This window comes from Homo sapiens, chromosome 17 (genome assembly GCF_000001405.40).
Source record: "Homo sapiens chromosome 17, GRCh38.p14 Primary Assembly".
Taxonomy (NCBI): domain Eukaryota; kingdom Metazoa; phylum Chordata; class Mammalia; order Primates; family Hominidae; genus Homo; species Homo sapiens.
Window position 1 is genome coordinate 47,256,473 of NC_000017.11, and position 17,818 is coordinate 47,274,290.

Sequence of the window (17,818 nt, forward strand, 5' to 3'; positions counted from 1 at the left end):
ACCCCCCCCCCCAACCTCACAAATCAGTTTCTACTATATTTATATCTGCCATCCCAGTGTTGGTGGTAGGGTCTTCAGATCCCTGGGGAAGCAGATGGTGGGATGAGAGTAGGAGAGTTGTGTTGGGACTCCAAGTGTTGAAGGGGCACAGAAAGAGCTGAGTGGCACAGAGAGGTTGTCCCAGAGTAGCGGAGTCTGCTTTGGGGAGAAGAGAGATTGACTGAGGATAGCATCAAGTTTTTCATTTTATGTACAAAGATGATCTTTTTAGCTTCACCCAGGAAGTATGGGTTTTGTGTCTTCCTCGTGTTTAGGTTTTTATTCTGACCTAATTAGGTCTAAGCTGAGGTGCTTATTTCTCTTCTGGAGTTTATATCCTAGAAGCTCTCCAATCGAAGCCCTCTGCAGGTATCCTCAGGTCCTGGAGAAACACAGCAGGAAGGCTTGTTGGCTTCGGAAAGGGAGGGCTATGGTTTAAAGCCAGTAAGATGTGGGTTTGATTCTTGACTTTGTCTCCTGTAGGCTGTGTGGCCTTAAATAAGTTACCTAATCTCTTGAGTCCTCAGTTTCCTCATTTGTAAGGCAGAGGAAACAATGCCTATGATTATGCTGATTAAATGAAACAGAGGCACAAAATAAGTGTTTAATGAATGACAACTACTATTGTCATTATTCTTCCTATCCATGCTATCTGCCATGTATTGGAGGCAAAAGCTGTTACTACTTCATGCATATGCGCTATGCAGGCTTCCAGAATGAAACTGATGGGGTCCCTTTCCCCCACATATGTGAGAGGGGGTCCCTCTTATTTCAACTCGTTCCTCATTGCTGGTTTGGCATATCTCAGCTACTCTAACCCGGCAAGAATCCACAGAAGAAGCCAAGAAGGAAAAAGGCTTATACATTTGCTTTACCCATAAGAAAACCTCAAGCCCTGTATCTGAAAAAAGAGGAAGATAAAAGGATCTATAAGACTTCAAGTTCCATGAGAAGAGGGACATGTCTATTTTGTTCAATACTCTATGCCCACTGCCTGGCACATAGGCAGCAAAACAAATATCTGTGGAATGCTATGTAAAGGCATCTATAGATGATGTGCCTCCCTTTAAGAAACCCAATATTTGAATATTTGCACTCATTCATACAAGATCCTCAAGTGCTCCGTTTGGATAATCTGGAGGGTATGAAAACATAGCCAAGATCATGAATTCTTTGGGCATTTGGGCCGCTGCACTGTTGCACCATTTAGACCTGTGATCTGAGAGTGTGAAAAACTCAAGGGATCCTCTGTAAAGTGTCTGCCTTTTTTTCCCTCCTGGGAGGAGCCGTTAGAAGGGCAACATTCTCCTTTCTCCCCCTTGGACGTGTGGGTGTTGGGGCAAGGGTGAGGAGTGACAGAGGTCTCCTGGGAAGACCATAAGATGGGGCAAGCACACCACAGTGAGGAGGGGGAGTCTGGCTATGACTTTAGAATTTCCTGATCGAAATTTCTCCTCTAAAGCTCCCCACCCTACTTGGGATCTGAGGTTATCATCCCCTCCCAGTCCCAAGAACCCTTCTTCCCTTGTTGGCAGAAATCTCCAGGAAGCATGCCCACAGGAACCACAACTCATGAATCAGAAGACAGATAATTAACCGAGGGAGTGACTGAGCAGCTTCAGGGATGAACCGCTTCGTTTTACCCAGCCCTCTCTGCTGCCCACAGAGTGGGCTGCTCCACCCCATCGCCTCTGCTCCCTCTTCCTGAACCTTGGCCCTTCCTGAGTGGGACCTTCATTGTGCCTGATGGAGCTCAGGCCACTAGTGGAAATGAAGGTGGGAGCAGGGAAATGACTCTGTTTAGGGGAACTGCCTATTCCCCGTGTGGGAACTGCTGGCATTTATTGAAACGTGAGACTCTCCAGCAAAAAAGTGATAGCATCTGCCTTTCTGTCCACACACACAGTCTCACCAAAAACACTCTTTTTTTTTTTTTGTTAGATAATTCAGGTATAATTTATGTACAGTAAAATTCACCCTTTTTAGTGCATACAGTTCTATGAATTTTGACAAATGCATATAGTCAAGTAACCATTGCCATCATCAAGATACAGAATTTTTCCATCATCCCCTAAAATTCCCCCAAGCTCTTTTTTTCCCTTCTTTTTCTTTCTAGAGGCAGGGTCTCACCATATTGCCCAGGCTGGTCTCGAACTTCTGAGCTCAGGCAATCTGCCCACCTCGGCCTCCCAAAGTGTTGGGATTACAGGCGTGAGCTACTGTGCCAGGTGCCCCCCCAGCTCTTTTGTAATCGATACCCTACCCTCAACCCTCGTCGGTTGCAACTGCTGATCTATTTCCTGTCCCTGCAGTTCTATGTTTTACAAAATGTCATATAAATGAAAGCATGCAGTGTATAGACTTTCAGTCTGGCTTCTTTCACTTAGCACAATACATTTGGGGTTAATCTATGATGCTGCATCTATCAGTAACTCTAAGACATTGTCTGAGGCCACTCCGTCATCCTCCGTGTTGGAACAGTTACCCTGAAAGCAGTGGGACTGGATCCGTTAAACTTTGGAGGTGCTCCCCAGCTTTCAGCTTCTAAATTTTATAATTGGATAGATGTATTTAGCTATATATAAGTCATTAGATTTTCCATGTGCTAAGTAGTTAAAGACTTCAGGATACTAGAGAGGATTCTGTAGCAACCAACACTTATTATTCTTGCTCATAGGAGTAACAGATATTTTGTGGCCAAATATTGTATGTCATGATGCTTGGAGTCAGAAGTTGTTAAGTAAACCTGGGGGCTATTCTACCTTTTTACATTTTTGGTAGCATCTCTGAAAAAACAACCCACTTGACTTTTTTTTTTTCCTTTTTTTTGGGAGGGTGGGTGGGTGGGTGGCTTTTTGGCCAAAACCAGAAAGCTTGCTAGACAAATTCTAACACTAGATCTAACACTAGATGTCTTATTTCTGTTTTTCTGTCATGTTCCCATGAAAAGACTATTTACTTACCCCCCTCTCTCGGTTTTATAGTTGAGTTAGTTCAATTTCTTAGTTCAGTTAGTGAAGATGTTTAAATATTCAAGGAGAGAAAGAAAAAGAACAAGGTGATACACATTTTAAAAAAGTCAAAATAACAAATATTGTTATTTCTTGGCTGGGCGCGGTGGCTCATGCCTGTAATCCCAGCACTTTGGGAGGCCGAGGCGGGCGGATCACCTGAGGTCAGGAGTTCAAGACCAGCCTGACCAACATGGAGAAACCCTGTCTCTACTAAAAATACAAAATCAGCTGGGCATGGTGGCATGCGTCTGTAATCCCAGCTACTCGGGAGGCTGAGGCAGGAGAATCGCTTGAACCCAGGAGGCAGAGGTTGCAGTGAGCCGAGATTGTGCCATTGCACTCCAGCCTGAGCAACAAGAGCAAAACTCTGTCTCAAAAAACAGAACAAAACAAAACAAATATTGTTATTTCTCAAATAGGTTCATCCACATAGGATCATTGTCAGTCGTTAAAATTGCTGGTTCCCTTCTAATTCTATTCCCCTATAATGTTCATATTAATCAGGTGGTGTGTTCTGTTTAGACATTTCCCCTCGCATTTATGTTTATTTGTGTGTGTGTGTGTATTCCTTTACTTAAACCCATGATATATAGTACTTCCTTTTATATAGAAAAAAGCTCAGTGTGGAAAGAACAACGTATCTGGAATTAAGAAACCTACATTCGATTCACAGTTCTGCAGGCTTTTTCATCAGCTTGCTGGGTGACTTTGAACAAGTGACTTTACCTTTAGGCATCAGTCTCTTGGTGTCCCAGGGGCTGCAAAGTGGGACAGAGAAGATGAAGGGAAATACTTCAATTTGCTCCTGCCCCTTCCCCACCACCTTCAACTGGAACTCCTTTAACTAATTAACAATTTGGAGTTCATGTAAGGATTTCTTTGGGAAAAAAAGAAGATCCTGCTGTTAAAATCAAGCTTGAAAAACTTTGCACTAGAAGAGAGCTCCAGAAGTTTGGCAAAAGACATATTCAGTAGCCACTTAAAAAGTCCCTGTAGTCAACCCTACATCTCTTTGCTAATGGAAATTTTGGATAGAGAAACCTGGGTCTGTGAGATCCACTGATGGCTCCAGACCCCAACTTTAGCCATCGCACGTGTTGAACTCCAGGTTGAGCCTTTGCTGGAGCCGCCTGCAAGGAGCATGTTTGACCAATCCCCAGTGGAGGGGAGGGTGGTGTTTCCTTTCTGGGACTTCCACAAGTTGAGAACAGACCATGCTGCCCTGGGCAGTTCTTGAAGGCTGTGAGAGTGGGCCTGACAAAGTTTATTCCTTTTTTTTTTTCCATTCTCTTTTATTATTATTATTGTTTGAAATTGACAAATAAAAATTATGTATATTTATGATGTACAACATGATGTCTTGAAATATGTGCGCATTGTGGAATGGTTAAATGAAGTTAAATAACATATGCATTACCTCACATACATACTTCTGATTTATTTGTGGTGAGAACACTTAAAAATCTCCTCCCAGCAATTTTCAGGTAGATGACATACGGTTATTAACTATAGTCACCATGTTGTACAGTGGATCTCTTGAACTTATTCCTCTTGTCTAACTGAAAATTTATATCCCTTGACCAGCATCTCCTCATGCAAACCATACCCCAAAGCTCATTTCTGTGTTCCTGCTGAGTTTGCCATTCCAAGAGGTTTTGATGCTGAAGGTGCAGTTTGTGGAAAGCCCAGCAGACTCTGGGGAGCCTACATTTAAATAAATGCAAATGTCGACAGGGAGGCAGAACAGAGGACATTTCAAATTAGCTTTAATTTTCTTTTAGCTTATAAAAGTAATTAAGCTTATTATTTAAAAAAAGGCAGCTCAGAAATATAATGCAGAAAGTACCAGTACCAGTTCCTTGTAGTCTTGTCCTTAAAGATAACCACTGTTGATAGTTACTGCAGAGTTTTTTTCTATGTATTTGTCAACATATATAATTATTTATCATTATTGTTATTTCTCAAATAGGATAATCAATAATAGGATCATTGTCTTTTTTTTTTTTTTTTTTGAGATGGAGTCTCACTCTGTCGCCCAGGCTGGAGTGCAGTTGTGTGATCCCAGCTCACTGCAACCTCCGCCTCCTGGGTTCAAGCAATTCTCCTGCCTCAGATTCCCGAGTAGCTGGGATCACAGGCATTTGCCACCACGCCCAGCTAATTTTTGTGTTTTTGATAGAGACAGGGTTTGGCCATGTTGGCCAGGCTGGTTTTGAACTCCTAACCACAGGTGATCCACCCGCCTCGGCCTCCCAAAGTGCTGGGATTACACGCATAAGCCACCGCACCTGGCCCATTGTCTCTTAATAATATACTCTAGGCATCTTTTTATGTCAGTTTATGGCTTTCCATTATTTATCCCAAGAGCTATAATTCTAGCCATAAGGCATACTCTTTGTTATATGGATATATCAGAATTTACTTAACCAATTCCCTGTTGGCAGACATTGGGATCATTCCCAATTATTTGCTACTACAAATAAAGCTGCAGGGGATATCCTTATTCATTTATTATGCACCTTTGTTCAAGTGTTTCTACAGACTTAATTTCTTGAATGAAAGTTGGTGGGTCGAAGGGCATGCGTATTTTAAATTTAAATTTTAGTAGGTGTTGTCAATTTGTCCTCCCAAACGGTTGAACCAGTTTGCTTTCCTACCAAGACAGGCTGGCAGTAAGGACTGGTGTTAGCACCGCGGCCTGCTGTCCACACCCATAACACATGAGCTGGGGGAGGAAGGCTGCAGAACTGGACAGCAGGATGCCAAGGAGGTCACCAATAGGGCACCCCTGGGCTGAGCCTCGGACAGCTTGGTACAGACCTGCTTCTTCTGTATACTGAATGAGGTGGGGTCGATGCTAATAAAAATTTCCAGAACTCTTGAGATGCAGCGTTTGAGTCAAATATCAGGCCATCAGGAAGAAATGGCCACTTGTGCCTTGTTTGAGGGTTCTCATGCCTTGGGTTGCTAGGCTTCCTAGGGTATGAGTCCCCCTGTTGATGTTTTCTGGCTGGAAGAGTGGATACTTCCAGGACTGGCAGCACCTTGAAGATCATCAAATTTGACACCTGTTTGTTTTACAAAAAAGCAAAAAGGGAGTTCCTGAGAAGTGAAGTGACTTGTCCAAGATCATACAACTGGCTCAGTGGCATTGGTTGGGTCTCTCCCTGGGGACTCTTGTCTCCTGCCCAGAGTGATTTCTTCACTATATCCTGTTAGAGACAAAGGGCCCTTTCACGTCTGACCCTGAGGTGGAGGCGAGGGGATGGGGATTCCTGGTGTAGGAAGTGACTAGAGTGAAAGTAAGGGGGAAGGAAATGAACATTTATTGAGCATCCACTATAGAGGGTTCTTTCATACGTGTTATGTCATTTAATCCTAACAACTCGGGAGCACTGGGGAAAGGAAGCAGCTGTTTGGAGTCTCCGGTGCTTGGCCGATGTGGCTGGTTAGACCCGTTAAATACTACAGAGCAGTTATCACTTCTCGACTATGAATGTGACATAGACTCAAAGAGGCACTGGGCCTTGGAGAGAGCACCAGAGAGATGAAGGGATGTACTTGAGGTCATACGGCCAGAGGAAGGGCAAAGATGGCTTTAGACGTGAGGTTTCCTGCTGCTTTGCATGCTTTTTCTGCCATATCCATCTGTTGTTTTACTGCTCCTGCCTTACCACATTTCTCAGGAGCTGGGTGTTAATTTTAGACCACAACCTTAGAGAAGACAGGACTCTGTCCCTGGAATGGGCTTTATGCAGTCTTCAGCACATGGCGACCTAATTAACCTCATTGGAGATGATAACCAGACATAATGTGGCTTCATTTACAAGGACAGGACCTGCCCTAGATCTTCCCATTAACATCATCTTGAAGTGTCAGCTCCACAGAGAGACCTTTCCTGACCACATGCTTTAAAGGAGACTCCTTCCCTCATTGCTTGCTATTCCCCGCCCCCCCCACCCCCACCCTTTCTTTTCCCTTTGAGGCAGAGTCTCACTCCATCACACAGGCTGGAGTGCAGTGGCACGATCTTGGCTCACTGCAAACTCCGCCTCCCATGTTCAAGCAATTCTCCTGCCTCAGCCTCCCAAGTAGCTGGGATTACAGGTGCGTGCCACCATGCCCAGCTAATTTTTCTAGTTTTAGTAAAGACTGGATTTCGCCATGTTGGCCAGGCTGGTCTTGAACTCCTGACCTCAGGTGATCTACCCGCCTTGGCCTCCCACAGTGCTCAGATTACAGTGTTAGCCACCATGCCCGGCCTATCCTGCTTTATTTTCTTACAGCATGAAGGGTCAATGAAAGGATATGGCCAGTGGTCAAGACATTTGAACTTTGTGTACAGGGAATCCCCTTGCTCAGACAAAAATCCTTCCTGTTTTTCCCTTGTGAACAAAAGTTCTCTGAAAAGGAATTGGGAGGAAAGACTTTATTCCAATGAACAGTTTGGAAACTGGGGAAACTCAGCTGTTGGTGTCAGAATTGGGGGTTTATAATGAAAGTTCCTGCCTAGGATCCTGATGAGGTCCACTTATGCAAATGAACAATTCCAACTTGCTTAGTTCTGTTTGGTTGAAACAACTGAGGCCTGATTGGTCAAGGCAGCAGAGCCCTGACTGGTTATTTTAGGTTAGCTCTGGAGGTCCCAAAGTTGAAGAGAGGTGTTGATTTTCAGGGAACTCAAAGTGGGTTGTGACCTCTAGTCAGCAAATGGCAGCTTTGCTCTGTTTAAAATTTAGGCCCACTTAGCCACTCCAGATCTATCTTGAAGGACTGGCTCTTTCAGGTTCACATTTGTTCACACCCTCATGCCCCATGAGCCATCCATCAGCAAGTCTTTAGATGGAACGTATCTAGAGTCTGACCACATCAGTGGCTCCGCTACTGTCCAAATCCACTGCCATCTGTTGCCTGGATTATTTTAGTACATTTCTAATTGAATAATAAGTCTCTTTCCTTTTTGCTTCCCTTCTTTCTGTCTTGCACTCAGCAGCCAGGATGATCTTTTTTTGCTCACCTCTGCTCAGATTCCTCCAGTGGCTTCCCACTATGTGGAGAAAAAAGCCACACTCTCTACCATGGCCTATAGCTTCCTAGTGTTCTGGTCCCTAACTGCTCCTCTAACCTCCTCTGTGCTTTTCTCTTCCTCCTTTCTCTCCACCTGCTATTTCTTTAACAGGCTGATGTCCATCCAGATCTTGCCTTGGGTTCTTTCTGGAATGTCTGTGCCTTGGATCGTCCCAGGATTCACTCTTTAACATCATTTTGAAATGTCAGCTCCACAGAGAGACCTTTTCTGATCACATGCTCTAAAGAGAGTCCTTCCCCTTATTGCTTGTTATTCCTTTATCCTGCTTTATTTTCTTACAGCATTTGCCACTGTTTGAAATTGTGCATTTTTGTTGTGTATTTTTTGTTACCATCTTCCTCACTAAAATGTAAGCTTCACAAGAGCAGGGGCTTTGTTTAGTTTATCAGTGTGTCTCCAGTGCCTAGGAGAGTGCCTGGCACAGGTAGATGCTCAATGAATATTTGTCGAGTAAATGAATGAATGAATCAATGAATGCTGACACCATTGATATATATAGGTAGAAAAATGTACAGCTAAAGTAACCATTTTTCAAACCTTATCCATACGTGGATTAAATGCAACAAAAATTTCATTTCATGCTGGCTTTTTTTCAATCATGCAAAGTATTTCACGGCAGTGTTCTTCAAAATCATGCCATATACATGATGGAGATGCAAATCCATTTTGTATTAGTTTCTTAGGGCTGTTGTAACAAAGCACCACAAACTGGGTGGCATAAAACAACAGAAATTTATTCTTGTTGGAAGCTAGAAATCTGAAATTAAGGTGTCAGCAGGCCCATGGTCCCTCTGAGACTCTGGGTAGAATCCTTCCTCCTTCCTATCTTCTGGTGTTGGCTGGCAATCCTTGGTGTTCCTTAGTTTCTGGCTGTATCACTCCAATCTCTGCCTCATGTGGCATTCTCTCTATATGTCTCTCTCTTCGTGTGGTGTTTTCCTCTTCTCATAAGGACATCAGTCATGTTGGATTAGGGCCTACCCTAACGACATCAATTGATCACATCTGCAAAGACCTGATTTCTCTGTAAGGTCATGGTCATGGGCACTGGGGTAAGGACTTCAACATATCTTTTTTGGGGACATAAGTCAACTTATAACACATTTTAATATTGGTGGAGGCAAGTTATACACAAATGTTTTCCAATGTTAAATACCGTACTTAACTGGCTCTGATATACTTAAAAACAGTTTTAAATCTCTAAAATCAGGACATATACTATATTCATAGTGTTAGATTTGATGAAATATGGTGCCTGGGTTCTCTACTGCTTTGGGTGATGCTTACTGGAGCTTTTTGCTCAGAGCACAGAGGTATGTGTTACCCTAAACTCCACCTCCCTGTCTCCTTCTCCTTCCTTGGGTTACTTAGCTGATGCTACATTTAAGGAAGGACCAAAATTAAAATAAACTTTCTTAGCAACTTGCTCTAGATAAACCACTTGTGCCTATGTAGGACAGTAAGCATGAGATTTTTTTTTTTCATGAGTCACATGGCCAGGTGACTACAATGAGGCATCATGTGAGTCACCCACTGTCCCCATGGACCTAATTGGGAAGTGAGCAGTCAAAGGTCAGTGGCAGGGCTGGGGACCCAGATTAGAACTCCTTTCTGGCAGAGTGATAGATGTCCATAGTGTTAGTGGAACATCCTCCCTTCTCGATAAACACCTCTTACTGTGACTTAGCCCTCTCCTGTAGTCCCCTGTCCTCATTAGGGTGGCCTGTTCCTACAGTCCAGCATCCTGTCTCACTGGACAACATGTCCTCAAAATAGCCCCCATTGACGCATTATGACTTCCACTGGATCCAATTCCCTCCCTTGTTTCCTTTGTTCTTCCATTTTTCCCACCCTTTGTCTCTCTTCTGCTTCTGTGATTCAAGCTGATGTGCCAAACCACAGCCTTCTACTTCTACTTTCCAGGCAAACTTCTTGGCTGGTCTTGATTGGATTAAAATTGTTATTTTCAAAAAACTTTTTTGAGGCAGGGTCTCACTTTGTTGCCCAGGCTGGAGTGCAGTGGCACAATCACAGCTCACTGCAGCCTCAACCTCCCAGGTCCAGCTGATTTTCCTGCCTCAGCCTCCTGAGTAGCTGGGACTGCTGGTGCATGCTACCATGCCCAGCTAATTTTTAAAAAAATTTTCATAGAGATGGGGGTCTCACTATGTTGCCCAGACTAGTCGCCAACTACTGGGCTCAAGCAATCCTCCTGCCTTGGCCTCCGAGAATGCTGGGATTACAGGCATGAGCCTGGATTTTCGAAGACTAATATTCCTAACCCCATTTAGAAGCCAGATCTGACAAGTAAACATTTCACCCTGGTGTGATACTTTCTGGCTCCACGCTCCCACGACTCCTTCTGCTCAGGGCATACTTAACGTCATGTCTAGTGTCCCCTAGAATGATGTCATCAAGGAAAAAAAAGTATTCACCTGCCCTAAACAATTTGAGACTCAGGATAAAAACAACAATAAAACCAATATAAATTACAGCAGCAGCAGCAGCAGCATTTATTGAGTACTTTCTGTGTTCCAGCTGTTGTGCTCAGAGTTTTACAGGGTTTGGTTTATTTCATCCTTACAACCACCCTGTGAAGACTGGGGTCAATCCACCTTGTCCCTGGTTCTGGCTAACCTGTCAGAGGAAAGGGGTGGTAGGAGGTAGGAGTTGTTTGTTCTGTAAGTGACATTATGGTGAAGATTCCCACTTTAGCAGGAATGAGTCTGGGCCCCAGAGAATGAGCAGGAACATAGGCTTTATGAATGACTGGAAACAGAGGCCCAAACTCCTTCCACACGTTCAGGAGGGAGGGGTGGGCTCAGAACAACAACTCATTGAATCAGCATGGGCTCAGTGCAGAGACTTCTGATGAGTCAGTCACTTTTAACCACTGCATTCCAGGGAATCTGCCTGGGTAGCAGGACTTGGTTGGGGGTATCATGGGGGGTTCATTGGTTCTCATAAAATCAACCTGTGATTCATTAAAAAGAGTGGATAAAGGGACTTGGTAACCATGACTCTGCAGGCATGATTTCCTAAAGAACAAATCCCAGCACCTCATTTTATCCTCTGGGGTCAGGGACCATTAGTTCACTGGGAGGGACCTGCTGTTATTTATTTTGTATCTTGCAAAACTTTCTATTGTGGCTACAAGTCAAGGACTCATAGGGAAATGCTAATTTGAGAATGAATGGGTGGTTAAATGAATAGACTGGGAAAAGTCCTAAAAAGTAATCTGACAGTGTCTGTATTAGTTCATTTTCATGCTGCTTATAAAAACATATCCAAGATTTGGTAGTTTATAAAGGAAAGAGGTTTAATTGACTCACAGTTCAACATGGCTTGGGAGGCCTCAGGAAACTTACAATCATGGTGGAAGGGGAAGCAAACACGTCCTTCTTCACATGGTGGCAGGAAAGATAAGTGCCAAGCAAAAGGGAGAAAAGCCCCTTATAAAACCATCAGATCTCATGAGAGCTCACTTACTATCATGAGAACAGCAGCATGGAGGTAACTGCCCCCATGATTCAATTACCTCCCATCAGGTCCCTCCCACAACACATGGGGATTGTGGGAACTACAATTCAAGAGGAGATTTGGGGGGTGGGGCACACTGCCAAACCATATCATTTCACCCCAACCCCTCCCAAATCTCATGTCCTCACATTTCAAAACACAATCATGACTTCCCAACAGTTCCTTCAAATCTTAACTCATTCAAGGATTAACCTGAAAGTCCAAGTCCAAAGTCTTATCTGAGACAAGGCAAGTCCCTTCTGCCTATGAGACTGTAAAATTGAAAGCAAATTAGTTACTTCCTAGATACAACGGGAGTGGAGGCATTGGGTAAATACAGCCATTCCAAATGGGAGAAATTGGCCAAAACAAACAGGCTACTGGCCCCACGCAAGTCTGAAATCCAGCAGGACAGTCAAATCTTAAAGCTCCAAAATGATCTCCTTTGACTCCATGTCTCACACCTAGGTCATATTGATGCAAGAGGTGGTCTCCCATGGCTTTGGGCAGCTCCACCCTTGTGGCTTTGCAGGGTACAGCCTCTCTCCCAGCCACTTTCATGGGCTGGCATTGAATGTCTGTGGCTTTTCCAGGCACATGGTGCAGGCTGTCAATGGATCTACCATTCTGGGGTCTGGAGGATGGTGGCCCTCTGCTCACAGCTCCACTAGGCAGTGCCCGAGTGGGGGGCTCTATGTGGGGGCCTCAACCCATATTTCCCTTGTGCACTCCCCTAGCAGAGGCTCTCCATGAGGGCCCTGCCTTGTAGCAAACTTCTGCCTGGACATCCAGGTGTTTCCATACATCCTCTGAAATCTAGGCAGAGGTTCCCAAACGTCAGTTCTTGACTTCTGTGCACCTGTAGGCTCAACACCACATGGAAGCTGCCAAGGCTTGGGGCTTGTATCCTCTGAAACCATGGCCTGAGCTCTATGTTGGTCACTTTTAGCCATGGCTAGAGTGGCTGGGATGCAGGTCACCAAGTTCCTAGGCTGCACATAGCAGGGAGGCCCTGGGCCCAGCCCAGGAAACCATTTTTTCCTCTTAGGCCTCTGTGCCTGTGATGAGAGGGGCTACCATGAAGGTCTCTGACATGCCCTGGAGACATTTTCCCCATTTTCTTGGTAATTAACATTCAGCTCCTCGTTACTTATTTCTGCAGCTGGCTTGAATTTCTCCACAGAAAATGGGTTTTTCTTTTCTATCACATCGTCAGGCTGCAAATTTTCCACACGTTTATGCTCTGCTTCCTGCTGCTGTATGCTTTGCTGCCTAGAAATTTCATCTGACAGATCCCCTAAATCATCTCTCTCACATTCAATATTCCACAGAGCTCTAGGGCAGGGGCAAAATGCTGCCAGTCTCTTTGCTAAAGCATAGGAAGCATGACCTTTACTCCAGTTCCCAATAAGTTCCTCATCTCCTTCTGAGACCACCTCAGCCTGGACTTCATTGTCCATATCACTGTCAGCATTTTGGTCAAAGTCATTCAACAAGTCTCTAGGAAGTTCCAAACTTTACCACATCTTCCTGTATTCTGAGCCCTCCAAGTTTCTAGGAAGCTCCAAACTTTCCCACATTTTCCTGTCTTCTTCTGAGCCCTCCAAACTGTTGCAATTTCTGCCTGTTACTCAGTTCCAAAGTCACTTCCACATTTTTGGTATCCTTATAGCAGCACTCCACTCTACCATTGCCAATTTACTGTAATAGTCTGTTCTCACACTGCTAATAAAGACATACCCAATACCAGGTAATTTATAAAAGAAAGAGGTTTAGTTGACTCACAGTTTAGCATGGCTGAGAAGGCCTCAGGAAACTTACAATCATGGTGGAAGGGGAAGCAAACACATCCTTCTTCACATGGTGGCAGGATGGAGAAGTGCTGAGCAAAGGGGGAAAAGCCTTTTATTAAACCATCAGATCTTGTGAGAACTTACTATTAGGAGAACAGCAACATGAGGATAATCATCCCTGTGATTCTATTACCTCCCACTGAGTCCCTCTCATGACCTGTGGGGATTATGGGTACTACAGTTCAAGATGAGTTTTGGGTGGAGACACAGCCAAACCATAGCAGTGCTCATATCTCCCATGGTCCTCTTCCCTCTTCTAACCCTTCTTGATGTCTTCTTGTGCTTCTGTCTCTTGTGAATATCAATGGCATTTATGTCCAGAATTACCCCTTGGCATGCCAATTCCCATGGAAACTCCAGAAAGGGAGGGAGATACTTAAAATAGTTCAGGCTGTGCTCCTCTCAGAAGTCTTCTGATAGGGGAAAAAAGAGAGGCTCTGTCCACATCTGCCTGGGAAGAGAGCAATTATAAGGCTAAGAGATGGCCAGGCAGCTCATGCAGGGAGAAGTCTTGGGTTGCATTGTTCGTTGTGAACATTCAGGAATTCTGAAACTAGCAGCCACTTTTCTTTCATTATAGACATTGCATGGCTCAGGGCTGCCCCATCTCAGAGGTGACCTTGATGCTTTAAGGCCAGGCTTGGAACCAATGTCATCATTCCCACTCATGGGCCTCACGCTTACATTCTGAAGTTGTAGTCAAGTCGGAGAGTGGAGCCCCAGAGGTTATTCATGGGCTCATAAAGGCATCCCACTTGTAGAATTTTAAAGTTGGGCAAGGCCTTTGAAGTTAGATGGACTCAAGGCTCTGAGGAAACCTGGGGCTTCCAGGAGGTGCTTCAAGGATTCCGCATATAATCTAGGGTTTTTGGGAGAACAATGAAAGTTTAAATTGCCTGAGGAATTGTTGTAGCCCATTTACATGTTTTATATTGGAATTCTATGCATAATTTTGAGAAATGAGCTCAGTTGCTTAAAAAAGCAAAGCAAAACTTCATCTATTCCCCTACCTTTCATTTTGCCCCAGTGCATATTTACTGAGCATCTCCACTGAGTAAGAACTGGAGCTGAGCTGGGCAGGGCAGAGCAGGTCTCAAGGGACTTAAAATCTGTTGGGTGGCAGTGTTGTTAAGGCAGACACATAAATTATTATGATGTGGTAGGAATATTAGAATTGAAGAAATGGAGGCTGAGAGGAGTTAAATGATTCACCCATGGCCACACTATTAGTGGGTGACTCGATTAGGATGACAGTCTACTCATTGTGTGTACCCATTCTGTTAGACCTCCTGTCCCCCAAGTAAGGTCCTGAAATGGGTACTGTTAAAGTATATATAATTTTAACAGAGTTAAAAGTATGATTTCTACACAAATATAAAGGGAATATGTGTAAAAGATTTTATTCAACTTTAGTAATTAAAGAACCAGTAAGACGTTAGGAGTAGTTCAAAAGGAATTTCAAAGAAGGGAGATTTATGGTTGATCAGTCAAAGGAATGCTGAAATGAATTAGTGAATAGATTGAAAATTGGTTAATATTCTGCAAGGCAATGAACCTTAACCTGTGGGGGATAACCTTTTCTACCAGACAGAAATCATTGGTATTGTTGTTGGATAAGAATAATATACATTGTTCTCTTATCTAAATAATTTACCTTGCACACCACAATATGATCATGATTAGATTAAAATGTTGTCTTAGCCAGTTCTAGCAGCTATAACAAAATGCCATAAACTGGGTGGCTTAAACAGCAAACACTTATTTATTTATTTATTTTGAGACAGAGTCTTGCTCTTGTTGCCCAGGTGGAGTGCAGTGGCATGATATCGGCTCACTGTAACCTCTGCCTCCTGGGTTTAAGTGATTCTCCTGCCCCTCCTGAGTAGCCTCCCAAGTAGCTGGGATCACAGGCGCCCACCCCAATGCCCAGCTAATTTTTTGTATTTTTAATAGAGACGGGGTTTCACCATGTTGGTCAGGCTGGTCTTGAACTCCTGACCTCAGGTGATCTACCTGCCTCGGCCTCCCAAAGTGCTGGGATTACAGGCATGAGCCGCCTCACCGGGGCTATTTTTTTTTTTTTTTTTTTGAGATGGAGTCTTGCTCTGGCTCAGGCTGGAGTGCAGTGACACTATCTTGGCTCACCACAAGCTCCGCCTCCTGAGTTCATGCCATTCTCCTGCCTCAGCCTCCCAAGTAGCTGGGACCACAGGGGCCTGCCACCACACCCGGCTAATTTTTTGTATTTTAGTAGAGACAGGGTTTCACTGTGTTAGCCAGGATAGTCTTGATCTCCTGACCTCGTGATCCGCCGGTCTCGGCCTCCCAAAGTGCTGGGATTACAGGTGTGAGCCACTGCGCTTGGCCATTTTTTTTTTAAAAGAATAATATACATTGTTCTCATCAAGAATTATTTCCCTTTTTTTTGAGACAGAGTCTCGCACTATTGCCCAGGGTTGGAGTGTAATGGTGATCATTTCCGTTTTTATGGTTTTCAATAGGTCAACATCTACTCTTACAGTATTGTAAAATATCCTGATTAATAGAAGCCAAATAATAGGTACATACTCTTAGAAAATCAGATAATCCCTAAGCATGGTGGGTCAGCTAGTCAACATTCTGCATTACATTGAAAGGACATTTGTATTTTCTTTGCCTGTTTCCAAATTTTATGTAATCTTTCTTTCTTTCTTTTTTTTTCTTTCTTTCTTTCCTTCTTTCTTTCTTTCTTTCTTTCTTTCGTTCTTTCTTTTCTTTCTTTCTCTCTCCTTCCTTCCTTTCTTTCTTTCCTTTTTTTTCTTTTCTGAGATGGAGTCTCACTGTGTCACCCAGGCTGGAGTGCAGTGGCATGATCTCAGCTAACTGCAACCTCTGCCTCCTTGGTTCAAGTGATTCTCCTGCCTCAGCCTCCTGAGTAGCTGGGATTACAGGAGTGCACCACCACGCCCGGCTAATTTTTGTATTTTTTAGCAGAGATGGAGTTTCACCATGTTGGCCAGGCTGGTCTCAAACTCCTGAACTCAAGTGATCCGCCTGCCTCGTCCTCCCAAAGTGGGGAGATTACAGGCATGAGCCACCACGCCTGGCCATAATTTTTCTTTACAATATTGTGTGTGTGTATACACCCTCATTTTCTGAGTGTGTTTTTGTCCAGGTGTTGGGAAGGAGGGAATTCAGTCACACTGTAATAAAATGAATGGAGACAGCTAAATGAGAAGTTTTGGGGACACTGGGAAAACATCGCAATGGTCAGGCTGATTTCTCCAAAATAGGTTCGCTGGTCTTACCAGCTGGGGTCAAAGAGGTCCCTTTGGAAAACTGCATGAAGGAGCTGTCAGGGTAACTGGGTCATGGAGAGGAACAGATCCCTCACATTCTGCTCCTTATATTGGAAAAAACCTCCTTAAGGCACTGCAGGAAGAAGGGTTCACCTGGCTGGAGCAGGAATGCTGAGCTAGGCAATTAGAGAGGACAGTGGCTTCTGTCTAAGCAGATGCCTGGGTTTGGCTTCCTGGCTGAGCTTCTCAAGGTGATTTTGGTTCTCCTGGTTGTTTCTGCTCCTCCTCGTAGCCTTTGCTCTGTCCTTTGACAGTATGAGGACTGTTCACATTTGAATAGCACCTTATAGTGTACCAAGTGCTTCCCCTTACCTCACTGAATTCTTGTACAAATCCTGAGAGACAGATATTGTCATCCCATAGAGGCTAGTTGAGTTGCCCAAGGTCATGAAGTAGTTAGCAGGAAGAACATTCAGAATTCAAGCACAAACCTTCCAACTCTAAAATTCCATGTTCTTTTAGTGTATATCAGTCAGCCTTTTCTAACATTTCTGCACTTCCTCCTAGAGCATTTTGTGGTTGGATTCCAAGATATATGCATTGAGAAGCTTGAGAAGATTTCAGATTTGCTTTTCTTTTGCCAGTCAGTGGGACACTGCCACCAAAGTCACCTCACCCTCCACGCCCCCACTGTATTTAGGCTATGTGTTAATGTTAGTGCATCTGGGCCTTGGATCCCCTGTGTAGTGGCTGTGAATATCACTAGAATGACTGAAGAGGGGATACATTGCCATTTTTCTGGGCCCCGGAGATATTTTCATTTGCACAATGTAGGTGTCAAACCAGTTGTTAATTAAAGCCTTTCCATCAGTTACGATCTGAGACTTGCGTCCATGGCTCAGCCTTGCCCTGTCACTTGTTACCACTGTGGCCTCATCAGTTGAGAGCGGTGATGAGTTTCTCCTGATTTTCCTCCTCCTCCTTCTTCCTAACCAATAACCTGTATTTGGTAGACGTCTGTGGTAT

General features: G+C 44.1%; 1 protein-coding gene and 1 pseudogene across 1 annotated transcript in view; one reads left to right on the plus strand and one right to left on the minus strand.

Annotated features, from left to right (window-relative positions):
* ITGB3 (integrin subunit beta 3) overlaps nucleotides 1-17,818 on the plus strand; it is a 59,917-nt gene that overhangs the window by 2,646 nt on the left and 39,453 nt on the right. The gene's annotated exons all lie outside the window — the stretch shown is intronic.
* Nucleotides 2,886-2,948, minus strand: RNU7-186P (RNA, U7 small nuclear 186 pseudogene; annotated as a pseudogene).